The sequence below is a fragment of the Homo sapiens genome, chromosome 22 (genome assembly GCF_000001405.40).
Source record: "Homo sapiens chromosome 22, GRCh38.p14 Primary Assembly".
Lineage (NCBI taxonomy): Eukaryota > Metazoa > Chordata > Mammalia > Primates > Hominidae > Homo > Homo sapiens.
Window position 1 is genome coordinate 31,452,589 of NC_000022.11, and position 13,194 is coordinate 31,465,782.

Consider the following 13,194-nt stretch of genomic DNA (forward strand, 5'->3'; position numbering starts at 1 on the left):
TTAGTTGCTCACACCAAAAGAAAGAAGCTAATTATAAGATATGAACCACACCATTGCAGTCAGCACCCAATCACCAAGACACAAATGTAACGAGAAAGGAAAATAGGATAGTCTACCATCTTTCAGTCTGATCTTCATTTGAAAGCATTTGTATCTAATAATTCTTTGTATAAAAGTAACTCTAAAGCAGTTTTACAGGGACATTCTCCTGCAACTGGTATGGTGTGGTCAGATACAAAGAAGTCAGTCTACCTATCTGAGGTGCCTCCTTTCAAGTGTAGGTCAGTCCTGGCACTAAGGAATAATGGAACCTCTGTCTGTCCTATTGGTCAGATAAGGAATGCTAAAAGTCAGTTGCTTTCTTTTGGTATAAGACATAATGATTCAAACAGCTATTGCTACTTGCATCTTGGCTAACTGGTAAGTTCCCAGGCAAGCAGGGAACAGGAAAAAAAGAGAGAAAACTCAATTTGGTAAATTTGCTATAACTTAGCAACTAGAATAAGTCCATGTTTATGTTTTTATTATTCATATCTACCCTGCTTCCACATTAGTTTGTATCAAGAGATAGTGATATTAACACATAGGCTATGGGTAAGAACTACCCTCTCAAAATTGTTAGGACAAAGAACCAGTATATTATAAACATTTGCATTTACAAGGTGATATGCAGTTGTGTCACCTTGTAACCTAACTTCATGCCTACAAGTTTTGTTTTTAACTTGGAGCCACAACTTTTTCCATTAGTAAATTGACAGAATGTAATTATCCTGACAAACCCATCTTACTTTTTTTTTTTTTTTTTGGAGACAGTCTCACTCTGTTGCCCAGCCTGGAGTGCAGTGGCGTGACCTCGGCTCACTGCAACTTTCATTTCCCAGGTTCAAGCAGTTCTCTTGTCTTGGCCTCCCAAGTAGCTGAGATTACAGGCGCATGCCCCCACGCCTGGCTAATTTTTATTTTTAGTAGAGATGGCGTTTCACCATGTTGGCCAGGCTGGTCTCAAACTCCTGACTTCAGGTGATCTGCCTGCCTCAGCCTCCCAAAGTGCTGGGATTACACGCGTGAGCCACTGTGCTCAGCCCCATCTTAGATACTTTACAAATGATTTGTATGACTGCAAGAATGCAGGTAATCCCTGGTATCTGGGAATAATTAGAAGATGTGAATAAAGATTTTACTATACAAATATGGTAAAGAATATGAACTTAAGTAGCTGAATAACAAGAAAATTGTCTCTGGAGTTCATCCAAAAAGATAGTTTTATACCTCATTTTAGCAGTGACTTAAAGTTATACAGGCATTACCATTAAGACTGAATCTTTTAATCTTTATACTGTCACCCACAATACATATAAATTAACCACAAGCCTGCTTTTTCCAGTAACAAATAGCATATCAATAATTAAGGAACACACAAAAGCATCAAGGACCAAATGACTACTAAAGAATTTCCAACTTACTCAGAATACCTTTTTAAAAATCCTTTTATTGTGGTGGGAAAAAGAAGAAAAAAAAAGGAGAAAAGGGTGGGGGGTTTGTGTCAGATACTTACGCTGACTTTGGGCTGAGAAGGCAAAGTCCCACTTGCCTTCATTGTGCTCACTAGCTTGTTGAACGCAGTCATGTCTCCGTCTTTCTTCAGTTGTCGATTGTTGGTTACGGCACTCAAGGTCTCTTCTAGGTGTTCTGCCATGAAGGGAGTTGAATTCTTCACTTGCTGGTCAACCTTCAAGCCCTTCAGACCTGCTTCTACCTCCTCCACTGAAAGCACAACCCCTGAATGTGCTGAGAAGTTGAGAACGTCCAGGTTAAATCAAGCAAAGAGATATCTGGTAGGAATTCTCTTTGGCTAGTATGACAGATAAGATGAAAATAATTTATTTCAAAATTGAGATGAGACTGTCAGAAAAGACTGACACCAAAAATAAACTAATAACACTTAAAATCAAATTGTGTACTAAGAGATGGCATAAACTAAACCTAAAATGTTTAGATGCTAGAAACTGGGGGACCACAACTATGAAGTGCTATTCTTTAAAACTTGACAAGCTCCTGCTGTGCATCCTGCAGAAGGATATGAGTCTTCTGGGAGACTTGTTACCTGGGACAAGAATCCCAGATAGCCCAACATTGCCAAGATTGCTGCCTGCACCGTGGTCATTATATCACTAAGTTTTTATGTTGAGAATTTATAGCCTAAGCAAGAACATGGAAGACTAGGGCAGATTTGTGAGGAAATGGTAAGTTATGCTCTGGAGGAATAAAACATTCACTGGAGTTTGTTTTCAACATTCACTGGATTATTACAACCAGACCCTAGGTAAGAACTTACAGGAAAAGTTCTCATAGGGCTCATGACCCACTGTGAGATTCTCAAAGAGGTGGTATTGTTTGATGAAATGAGTTTTTAAAAAAGAACATTAAACAAAAACCCAATATATATTTGACTTTTTATGAAACAGAGGTTATGTTAGACCCAACTGCCTGAAGACTGAACATCTAGACCTTTTCAGATATCTAAAACAGATATTCATAAACACTTACAGCTTTCTTTAAGTTTTTCTTTATTTGCAGAAAGGCTGGAAAGAAGAGGTTTCAAATCCACTTTGGCTTTCTGTAGCATTTCTAAAATATCCACTTTATTTTCAGCATGGTCTTCCAATGGTATAGGAGCAAAGTAATTCCCCGAGTTCTGTCCAGGAGAGAGGATGGCTTGCTCCAGACCTGATATTGCAAATAAACATACTCAAAATTAATCTGTTCCAGTAAAGAAACATGCCTTCGACAGTATTTTTCTTTCTTTCTTTTTTTTTTTTTTTTTCTTTGAGATGGAGTTTCGCTTTTTCGCCCAGGCTGGAGTGCAGTGGCGCAATCTCGGCTCACTGCAACCTCCGCCTGCCAGTTTCAAGCGATTCTCCTGCCTCAGCCTCCTGAGTAGCTGGGACTACAGATGCCCGCCACCACGCCTGGCTGATTTTTGTATTTTTAGTAGAGATGGGGGTTTCACCATGTTGGCCAGGCTGGTCTCAAACTCCTAACCTTGTGATCTGCCTGCCTTGGCCTCCCAAAGTGCTGGGATTACAGGCGTGAGCCACTGCACCCGGCCCCTTCAACAATATTAAAAGGACACAAATTGAAGGCTTTTCAGTTGTCCAGAGACCCTTTGACCCTAATTGACTCCTGACTAATGAAGATAAAATGAACCATATCAGGGAAAAACCCAGGTTTACCTTCAAGGGCAGAATCTGAAGCCATTTTACCTGCAAGTCTCTCTAGCTCTTCATGTGGTGTTGACCCAAGACTGCTGGATCGGCTTCCTGATCTGCTCGGGTTAGAGAACCACCTACTGAACCGACTGGCAGAGACTGACCCTTCTCCCAAAACATCTTCTATCATCTGAAGAAAAAGACAATAAAAACTAATAGTTTCTAGATGAAAAAGGACAAGAAGGTTTAAATCTTATGAAAGGGTCACTTACTTTGAAACTTCCTTTCATGCTCGTGACCTGAAGATAAATACTCTCAGAACCTAGGAATTTGAACACCTTTTTCTTCCTCCATCCTGGGTAATTTCTGAATAACCCAAACTTGAGTATAACCATCTACTTACTTTCCTTTTTTATTTTTTATTACTTTTTTTTTTTTTTTTTTGAGACAGAGTCTCGCTCTGTCACCCAGGCTGGAGTGCAGTGGCACGATCTCGGCTCACTGCAAGCTCCGCCTCCCGGGTTCACACCATTCTCCTGCCTCAGCCTCCTGAGTAGCTGGGACTACAGGCGCCTGCCACCACGCCCGGCTAATTTTTTGTATTTTTAGTAGAGACGGGGTTTTACCGTGTTAGCCAGGATGGTCTCGATCTCCTGACCTTGTGATCCGCCCGCCTTGGCCTCCCAAAGTGCTGGGATTACAAGCATGAGCCACCACACCCGGTCTACTATTTTTTTAAGACAGTCTCGCTCTGTTGCCCAGGCTGAAGTGCAGGGGTGCAATCTTGGCTCACTGCAACCTCTGCCTCCCAGGTTCAAGTGATTCTTATGCCTCAGGCTCTCGAGTAGCTGGGACTACAGGCATACGCCACCATATGCCTGGCTATTTTTAATTTTATTTTTAGTAGAGATGGGTTTTTACCATGTTGGCCAGGCTTGTCTCGAACTTCTGACCTCAAATGATCCACCTGCCTTGGCCTCCCAAAGTGCTGGGATTACAGGCATGAACCACCACTACTTTCTAAGAATATAAAGCAAAGCCTCTATGCTACAAAAAGGTTTTTGGGTTTCTATCCTTTGCCTCAGGAGTAAATCCACGTACTACCAAATGTTCTCAGAGAACAGTGTCAATGCCACAGCATTCCACTGACAAGCTGATGAGTGACCTTCAACTAAATATCAAGTATGGGGAACTGATGAAAGAAAACCATTGCTTCAAACTTAGTGGTTTCAAGGTTGTAATGAACATTATGAAATTCAATCTTGAGAGTTTCAGAAGCCAAAGGCTAAAAAAGCAGAGCTCATAAAGACTGTAATTCCAAGTCAAAGTTTAGAAAAAGTATGATTGTGGAAGATGAAATTTCAACTGATCTCTAATTTCTGTTTGAGATTAATAGAGAGTTTTCAGGTGTTTTCTGTTTCCAAATCCAACCTCCATAGTTTACATTTAATAAGGACAATTAAATAACACACTATGAACAATAAATTGCTTTGGTAGAAATTATGAAATAGTGCCAATCTTTCTTAAAAACTAGATTTAAGCATTTAAAAAATTTTTCAATTCAAATCATACCATAAATTCAGTCAAATATCCAAATTGATTTTTTGCAGTATTCTTATCAATATTTAGAAAAGACAAGATAGAGCAAACATCTATCCAAAAATCAGACATATCCTTGAAAATAAGTCATATACTTTCACGTCAATCCCACTGATAAACAGAAAACATGCTTTTTCAAAAACTGGTACATGGATGACAGAATTAGTGACTGTTTTATTTGAAATCTGGAACCCACAGTTTCCAAAGTTAAGCAGGGGAAGCTTAGATTTATTCTTTGTTCTTATCTGGAAGAATGTTTTCATAATCCATACCCAAATTAAGCCACAATATACTTCTTTTGAAGGGATTTTAATTCAAGACCCTAATTATTGTTTCCAGAATTTCTATTTTCAGAGGAATTATCTAGACAATTTCAATCACATTCCACCTGTAGATGCTCATACCTTAAATAATGCTGACTTTTAAGTGCACTAATTTTGTATTAATTAAAATATAAGATAAGCATGATACATCACTGTGAAAAATTGGGGAGTGTATCCAAAATATAAGCATCTTAGTGATAAACAGGAATTCTAAAAATAACTTTAAAAAGCCAGGTGCGGTGGCTCACGCCTGTAATCCCAGCACTTTGGGAGACCAAGACAGGAGGATCACAAGGTCAGGAGTTCAAGACCCGTCTGGCCAACATAGTGAAACCCCATCTCTACTAAAAATACAAAAATTAGCTGGGCATGGTGGCACACACCTGTGATCCCAACTACTCAGGAGGCTGAGGCAGAAGAATCGCTTGAACCCAGGAGACGGAGGTTGCAATGAGCCAAGATCGTGCCACTGCACTTCAGCCTGGGTGACAGAGTAAGATTCCAACTCAAAAAAAAAAAAACAACAAAAAAAGAATTTTTAGTCTAACACCACCAGCTTAAAAAAGAGTTAACTGGTACAAAAATCTCATATTATCCATTAAGCCTCTCAAAACAAAGCCAACAAAAATTTAAATATGTAAGAATAAAAGCCAAAAACCCCAAAAGCATCTAGCAAAACAACACTTTCAAACCGATGTCTTAAATACTCAGGTCAAATTTAACCACACATTTTTTAAGTGTGCTGCTACACTCACCGAAGCCAAGCATGGCACCTTATCAAGGTTAAAGAACTCATTAAAGTCAAAGTCTCCTGGGGACTGCTCAGGCAAGACAGCATCCCTTGGCACTTCCTGATCAGCCGCAGGCTCCTGTGCAAGGATGACCTCCACTTCATCCTCTTCGGCCACTCCTCCATTGCACTCTACTATACCTGAAAGCAAAACCAGGACAAAAACCGTCTGATAAGTAAATCACTCCAGTGTCCCTCTGTGGCTTCAGCCATCAGTATACATGTAGAAGAGCCACACATGACTTAAAAAGCAGACTTCTCGTGCAGGTACTGTACTTGCAAGAATAAAACAGTCCCCCTTCTACGGGAGGCAGAAAAGGAAAAAAGCCTTAATAAAGCTAGAATACCAATGGGATGTGGGGAGGATTATGGTTCCCTTCGTGGGAACTTCATATTTTCTATAGTGGAGGGGGGTCTTTTTTTTTTTTTTTTTTTTGAGATGGGGTCTTGCTCTGTTGCACAGGCTGGAGAGTAGTGGCACGATCACAGCTCACTGTAGTCTCTACCTCCTGGGCTCAGGTGATCCTCCTGCCTTAGCCTCCAGAGTATCTGGGACCACAGGTGCACACCACCATGCCTGGATAATTTTTTAATTTTTTGTAGAGACTGAGTCTCGCTAAATTGCACAGCCTGGACTTAAACTGCTGACCTCAAGTGATCCTCCTGCCTTGGCCTCCCAAAGTGCTAGGATTACAGTAGTGAGCCACTGTGTCCAGCACCATGCCTAGTTCTTTTTCTAGTGATTTTTTTTTTAAAGGATAGTCTTTGCAAGTCTCTTACTGCTTAAAAATGGAACCAAATTAATTTAGCTCTGCTTCTGCCCATGCACCTGTAGCACCACTTTCAGTCAGGGCTCAGCAACCTAAGGTATTTATGAGAAACCTGGCATGAGGGCAATTTTCACTTGCCTACAGGTTGGTTGTTGTAGCTCATCCTTCAAGGCGAAATTCAAATGTGACCTTCTCTGGGAAGCTTGCCCTGCCTACCCATTTTTGCCCTACCTAGTAAAATTAATTGCTACCTTCTCTATAATCCTTATGTCATCTCTGAGTACTTGTCACACTGTATAATAGTAACTCTCTGGTGAGGCTAAACTCTGAGGGTAGGGAACCTGGTCTAACCAGCTTTGTCTTACTCTGTAGTGCCAGGTATACTCTACAATGTTCAGTTGTTTTTAGGATGGGGAGACAAAGTGAAACTGCCAGATGCTAACATTTAAGGCATCTGACATCTTAGTTTTTAATGTTTTTATTTATTTTAAATACATAGCAAGGGCAACCTAGAGACATTCTGTAGTTAGCTAATGGGATGAACCAAGACCCCTGGATTCTACTCCAGGCTCTGCCATGAAATCCATCCCTTCTCTCCAGGTCTCAATTTCTCTCTGCATCTGTAAAATAAGGAGGTGCCACTACCAATCTATCTCACTCCTGACTCCTGCACTTGATACAAGAATGGTTGAAATTCAGATTTCACCTCACTTAAGAAAAACATAATTTTTTCTCACCAGAAGCCTGATCTTTATCGTTAAAGTGGTGCTTTATTGGGTGCTGCTTTAATTAAGAATGAGACAAAGACATATCTCAAAGCCAATTTAATAGCAAAGTCTTCCAAGTTACCTATCAATTTCTTACATTATCCTAGGGAACACTGTGTGATAGCACAAAGATAATGGTAATATGTACTATATTTTGAAGACTACAAAAGAAGATGAGTATTTTGATTCTCCATTTCCTTCTCCTTCTAAATAAATGCCATCAGCTTATTTCTGCTTATATTTGTCTTCATCAAAATGTTAAGGTGGCACTGATTTTTCCCTTATTTATTAAAATAGCTTTCCCAGACCAGGCGCAGTGGTTCACGCCTATAATCTCAGCACTTTGGGAGGCTGAGGCAGGTGGATCATGAGGTCAGGAGATTGAGACCATCCTGGCTAACACGGTGAAACACCATCTCTACTAAAAATACAAAAAATTAGCTGGGTGTGTTGGCACGCGCCTGTAGTTCCGCTACTCCGGAGGCTGAGGCAGAATTGCTTGACCCTGGGAGGCGGAGCTTGCAGTGAGCCAAGATCGCACCACTGCACTCCAGCCTGGGTGACAGAGCGAGACTCCGTCTCAAAAAAAAAAGAAAATTAATTAAAAAAAAAAATAGAGGACTGGCGCAGTGGCTCACGCCTGTAATCCCAGTACTTTGGGAGGCTGAGGCGGGTGGATCACGAGGTCAGGAGATCGAGACCATCCTGGCTAACATAGTGAAACCCCATCTCTACTAAAAATACAAAAATTTAGCTGGGCGTGGTGGTGGGCGCCTGTAGTCCCAGCTACTCGGGAGGCTGAGGCAGGAGAATGGCGTGAACCCGGAGGCGGAGTTTGCCGTGAGCTAAGATCGTGCCACTGCACTCCAGCCTAGGCAACAAAGCAAGACTCCATCTCAAAACAAACAAACAAACAAAAAACAAAAAAAAAGGCTTTCCCCTTTTGTTGCCTAGTATCTGCCAAAAGGCTTTCAACTAAGCCTGAAAGCTTGAGGCAGGTAGAATTTACTGAGTGCCTTCTTGGAGGCTGAGTTCTGATGGGTACATGTGTTCTTCAATGCTAAAGGTAACCCTTAAGTTATGATAGGCATTGTTCTTCCCTTTACAAAGAAACAGGCCCAGCTGTCAAAATTTTGTCAAAAATTATCCTTTTCTAAGCAGGAGCCCTAGTACTTTAACCCAGGTTAGTCCCCACCTGGCTCTACAGTGCCTCCTTCCCAAGACCATCAGCCTGGGACTGGCCACCTTAGAGCCAGGTCACTGCCCTAAAAAATGATTGGCTGCAGACCAATGGGCTCCCACTCTGCAGCAGGTACTTCACACACATTAGCTCTGGCTCCTTCAGTTTAGCAAGGGAGATATCTGACCCCATCTTACAGCTGAGGAAACTAGGTTTTTTTGGTTTTTTTGGAGACAGAGTCTCAACTCTGTCTCCCAGGCTGGAGTGCAGTAGCACAATCTCGCTGCAACCTGTCTCCTGGATTCAAGCAATTCTCCTGCCTCAGCCTCTCCAGTAGCCGGGAGTACAGGCATGCGTCAACACACCCAGCTAATTTTTGTATTTTCAATATAGACAGGGTTTCACCATGTTGGCCAGGCTGGTCTCAAACTCCTGACCTCAAATGATCCACCCGCCTTGGCCTCCCAAAGTGCTGGGATCACAGGCGTGAGCCACCGTACTCATCCTGAAACTAAGTTTGAGAGAAGGCAAATCACAAACAACTGACCTGGGAAGGCCTAATACCATGATGAAGAAGGTAGGCTCTGATGCCCAGAAGCATCTTGCTTTACTCTTGACTTCACTACTTATTTCCATGGTGACTACCTTAAGTGTCCTTGAGTTACTTAAGCCCTCTGAGCCTCCATTTGCTCATCTATGAAATGGGCATAAAAAAGTACCTACACTGCACAAGGTCATTAGGAGATGAAGGATTACACAGACAAAATACACTCACCACTGTGTTTAGGACATAATTGCTCAATAAATGAGACCTCTCATTTTTCTACCACGTTTCTTATTTCTGGGGAACTCTTTCATGTACACAGTCCTCTTACAGGATAACTTCAGACTTTTCTGTTTAGTGTGGCAGGCAGAACGAGTTAGGGAAACAGTATGATCTACACTTAGTGAATCCTCACTTAAGCAGTTGCAGGGGCTGGGCATGGTGGCTCACACCTATAATCCCAGCACTTTGGGATGCCGAGGCGGGTGATCACCTGAGGTCAGGAGTTCGAGACCAGCCTGGGCAACATGGTGAAACCCCATCTCTACTAAAAATAGAAAAAATTACCCAGGCGTCATGGCAGGCACCTGTAATCCCAGCTACTCGGGAGGCTGAGGCAGGGAAGAATCGCTTGAACCAAGGAAATGGAGGCTGCAGTGAGCTGAGATGGTGCCACTGCACTCCAGCCCGGGCAACTGAGCGAGACTCCGTCTCAAAAAAAAAAAAAGATTTCAAAATCAGGATGCATCATGAAAAACTTGCCATTTCCTATACATCTGGTGCCCATTCCTAAGTGTACAATTAGCCAGTGATAATCACATCTCTATTTTATTTTTGAGACAGTCTTGCTCTGTCACCCAGGCTGGAGTGCAGTGGTGTGATAGCTCACTGCAACCTCTGCCTCCCAGGTTCAAGCAATTCTTGTGCCTCAGCCTCCCGAGTAGCTGGGACTACAGGCACCAGCCACCACACCCCACTAATTTTTGAATTTTTGTGGAGACGGGGTTTCACCATGTTGGCCAGGCTGGTCTCAAACTCCTGACCTCAGGTGATCCGCCCACCTCGGCCTCCCAAAGTGTTGGGATTACAGGTGTGAGCCACCACGCCCAGCCTACATCTCATTTTAAAACAGCGAACTTCCCTCCCAAAGTTTGAACTGACCTTCCTTCACAGAGGCTGTCCGTCGCCTTGTTCTTTTTCTCCCTTTGTGATCTTCTTCTAGTATCTTATCATCAAAGCCAGTCAGTTCGATGGTTTCAGACTGACTTGTGGGTCCAGCAGAGAACCACTCTGGTTCTTCTTCTGTGTAAGAATCATTTCTTCTACGCTCACCAAAGACACGCTTACTATCTCCAAACTCTCTCTGGAAAAGTACATAAAGCAAGATTAAAAAATTTCTAGTCAAGCCATTTCTACTTCAGTCAAGGTCTTCGTTGTAATGTTCAATAGTGAAAGGAAGATATGATGCTGTATACCTGAGGCCCATCACCACCCCCACCCCTTCCTCCCTGACTGGTTTAAGAGCAGGCTGTGTTCATGCCTGTTCTCAAAGTAACCTGGTATAAAAAAAGTGAATATCAAGTCCCCAAGCACATGAACTACCAAAGAATCTAGAAGACAAACCCAGGTCGGGTGTGGTGGCTCACGCCTGTAATCCCAGCACTTTGGGAGGCCGAGGCAGGCCGATCACCTAAGGTTGGGAGCTTGAGAGACCAGCCTGACTAACATGGAGAAACCCCGTCTCTACTAAAAATATAAAAAGTTAGCCGGGTATGGTGGTGCGTGCCTATAATCCCAGATACTGGGCTGAGGCAGCAGTGAGTCAAGATCGTGCCATTGCACTCCAGCCTGGGCAACAAGAGCGAAACTCCGTCTCAATTTAAAAAAAAAAAAAAAAAAAAAAGACAAACCCTGAAACGCTTGTCCTTGAAGTCCCTCTCTCGGTCTCTGTCTCTCAAGTCCCGCAGGTCCTTATCGCTAAGACGGTGATCCTTCTCAAAGGTCCGGGCAGAGATTATCCTCCCACTGCCAATCCTACGTCCACCAAGCAGACGAAGCCCATCACTATCTTTCTCTAATGGACTTCCTGAGCGCCGGGAGCTAACAGCGGCTGTCACGTGGCAGCCCCCTCCAAAGCTCCGTCTCTGAGGGCTGAGAACAACATCTAAGTCATCTTCTTTCACACGCTCTCGTGGATCTGGAAGGACGTGGGAAAGACAAAGTTAAACAAACCAACAAGGGTGTTTTCTTCTTTTTTAGATAGTATGTCCATGACTGATGGGAGGAAGGGGATGGTTGGAAGAGAGTCACCACTAAAATTGGGCTTATCAGCAGATTCAGGGTAACATGTACATTATGTATTTAAATAAGGCTGAGACATTGGCCTTCCTCTTTGCAGCAATAGAAGTACGTCACGATAAATAATTTTCCATGATTAGTCTTTGCAGTGCCTTTATTTTGACCAAATCCTTATCTAAGAATTATTAGCAAATGTTTTGTCAACTAATAAACTACAGCAGGCGTATTTGAAAAAATAACTGCTTAAAAAGTTAAAGTGTCTCTTCAACAAAATGGTGTTGAACGGTTAGATATCCACAGACAAAGAAATGAACTTAAATCTATATTTGGGGCCGGGCATGGTGGCTCACGCCTATAATCCAGTACTTTGGGACGTCAAGGCAGGTGGATCACGAGGTTAGGAGTTCAAGACCAGCCTGGCCAAGATGGTGAAACCCCGTCTCTACTAAAACTACAAAAATTAGCCAGGCATTGTGGCAGGTGCCTGTAATCCCAGTTACTTGGGAGGCTGAGGCAGGAGAATCGCTTGAACCTGGAGGCAGAGGTTGCAGTAGCAGAAGTCACCCCGCTACACTGTAGCCTGGGCAAAAGACTAAGATTCAGTCTCAAAAAAAAAAAAAAAAAAAAAAAAATATATATATATATATATATATATATAAACAGATATATACAAAAATTAATTCAAAATGGATCACAGATCTAAATGTAAAACCTAAAACTAAAAATTTCTAGAACAAAATATAGGAGGAAATCCTTGTGGCACTGGGTTAGGCAAAGTTTTCTTAGGCATGACACCAAAAGCATGATCCATTTAAAAAACACTGATAGACTGGGCTTGATCAAAATTTAAAACTTCTACTCTTTGAAAGACACTGTTTAGAGAATGCAAAGACAAGCCACAGACTGAGACAAAATATTTCAAAGCATTTTTCTGATAAAGGACTTAAATTCAGAACACATAAAATCTCTTAATAAACCAACCCAGTGGCTCACGCCTGTAATCCCAGCACTTTGGGAGGCTGAGGTAGGTGGATCACCTGAGGTTAGGAGTTCGAGACTAGCCTGACCAACATGGTGAAACCTCGTCTCTACTAAAAATACAAAATTAGCCAGGCGTGGTGGTAGGCACCTGTAATCCCAGCTACTTGGGAGGCTGAGGCAGGAGAATCGCTTAAACCTGGGAAGTGGAGGTTGCAGTGAGCTGAGACTGCACCACTGCACTGTAGCCTGGGCACCAAGAGCCAGACTCTGTCTCAAAAAAAAAAAAAAAAAACCAACACAATTGAAAAATAGACAAATGGTTTGAACAGACACTTCACCAAAGAGGTTATGTGGAAGGCAAATAAGCATATGAAAAGATACTCAACATAATTAGTCATTAGGGAAATGCAAATTAAACCATGTGATACTACTACACGCCTATTACAATGGCTAAAATTTAAATGACCATTCCAAGTGCAGATGAGGATGTTGGAGCAAGTGCAACTCTCATACACCACTGGTGGAAACGTAAAATGGTACAACTACTTTGGAAAACAGTTTGGCAATTTCCCAGAAGGTTAAACATACATCTGCTATACAACCCAGCCATTTTAATCCTAGGTTTTTACCCAAGAGAAAAGAAAGCTTATGTCCAGAGACTTGTACATGAATGTTCATTGCAGCTTTGGTTATTTAACAGTCAAAAACTGGAAACAACCCAAATGTACATCAA

General features: G+C 42.1%; 1 protein-coding gene across 12 annotated transcripts in view; it reads right to left on the reverse strand.

Moving 5' to 3' along the window:
* The window catches only part of EIF4ENIF1 (eukaryotic translation initiation factor 4E nuclear import factor 1), a 56,606-nt gene that overhangs the window by 15,626 nt on the left and 27,786 nt on the right, over window positions 1-13,194 (reverse strand). For 11 of the 12 annotated variants that reach the window (XR_007067979.1, XR_007067978.1, XR_007067977.1 and 8 more), the window contains exons 5-10: window positions 11,093-11,379; window positions 10,344-10,545; window positions 5,887-6,062; window positions 3,264-3,399; window positions 2,548-2,727; window positions 1,556-1,788 (exon numbers count right to left, since the gene is read on the reverse strand). Coding sequence is in view for 8 of the 12 variants with exons in the window: in XM_011530280.3 (XP_011528582.2) it covers window positions 1,556-1,788; window positions 2,548-2,727; window positions 3,264-3,399; window positions 5,887-6,062; window positions 10,344-10,545; window positions 11,093-11,379 (1,214 nt within the window). In the remaining 4 variants the exon portion in view is untranslated. The remainder of the gene's footprint in view (window positions 1-1,555; window positions 1,789-2,547; window positions 2,728-3,263; window positions 3,400-5,886; window positions 6,063-10,343; window positions 10,546-11,092; window positions 11,380-13,194) is intronic. The other variant, NM_001164502.2, reaches the window with a different exon arrangement.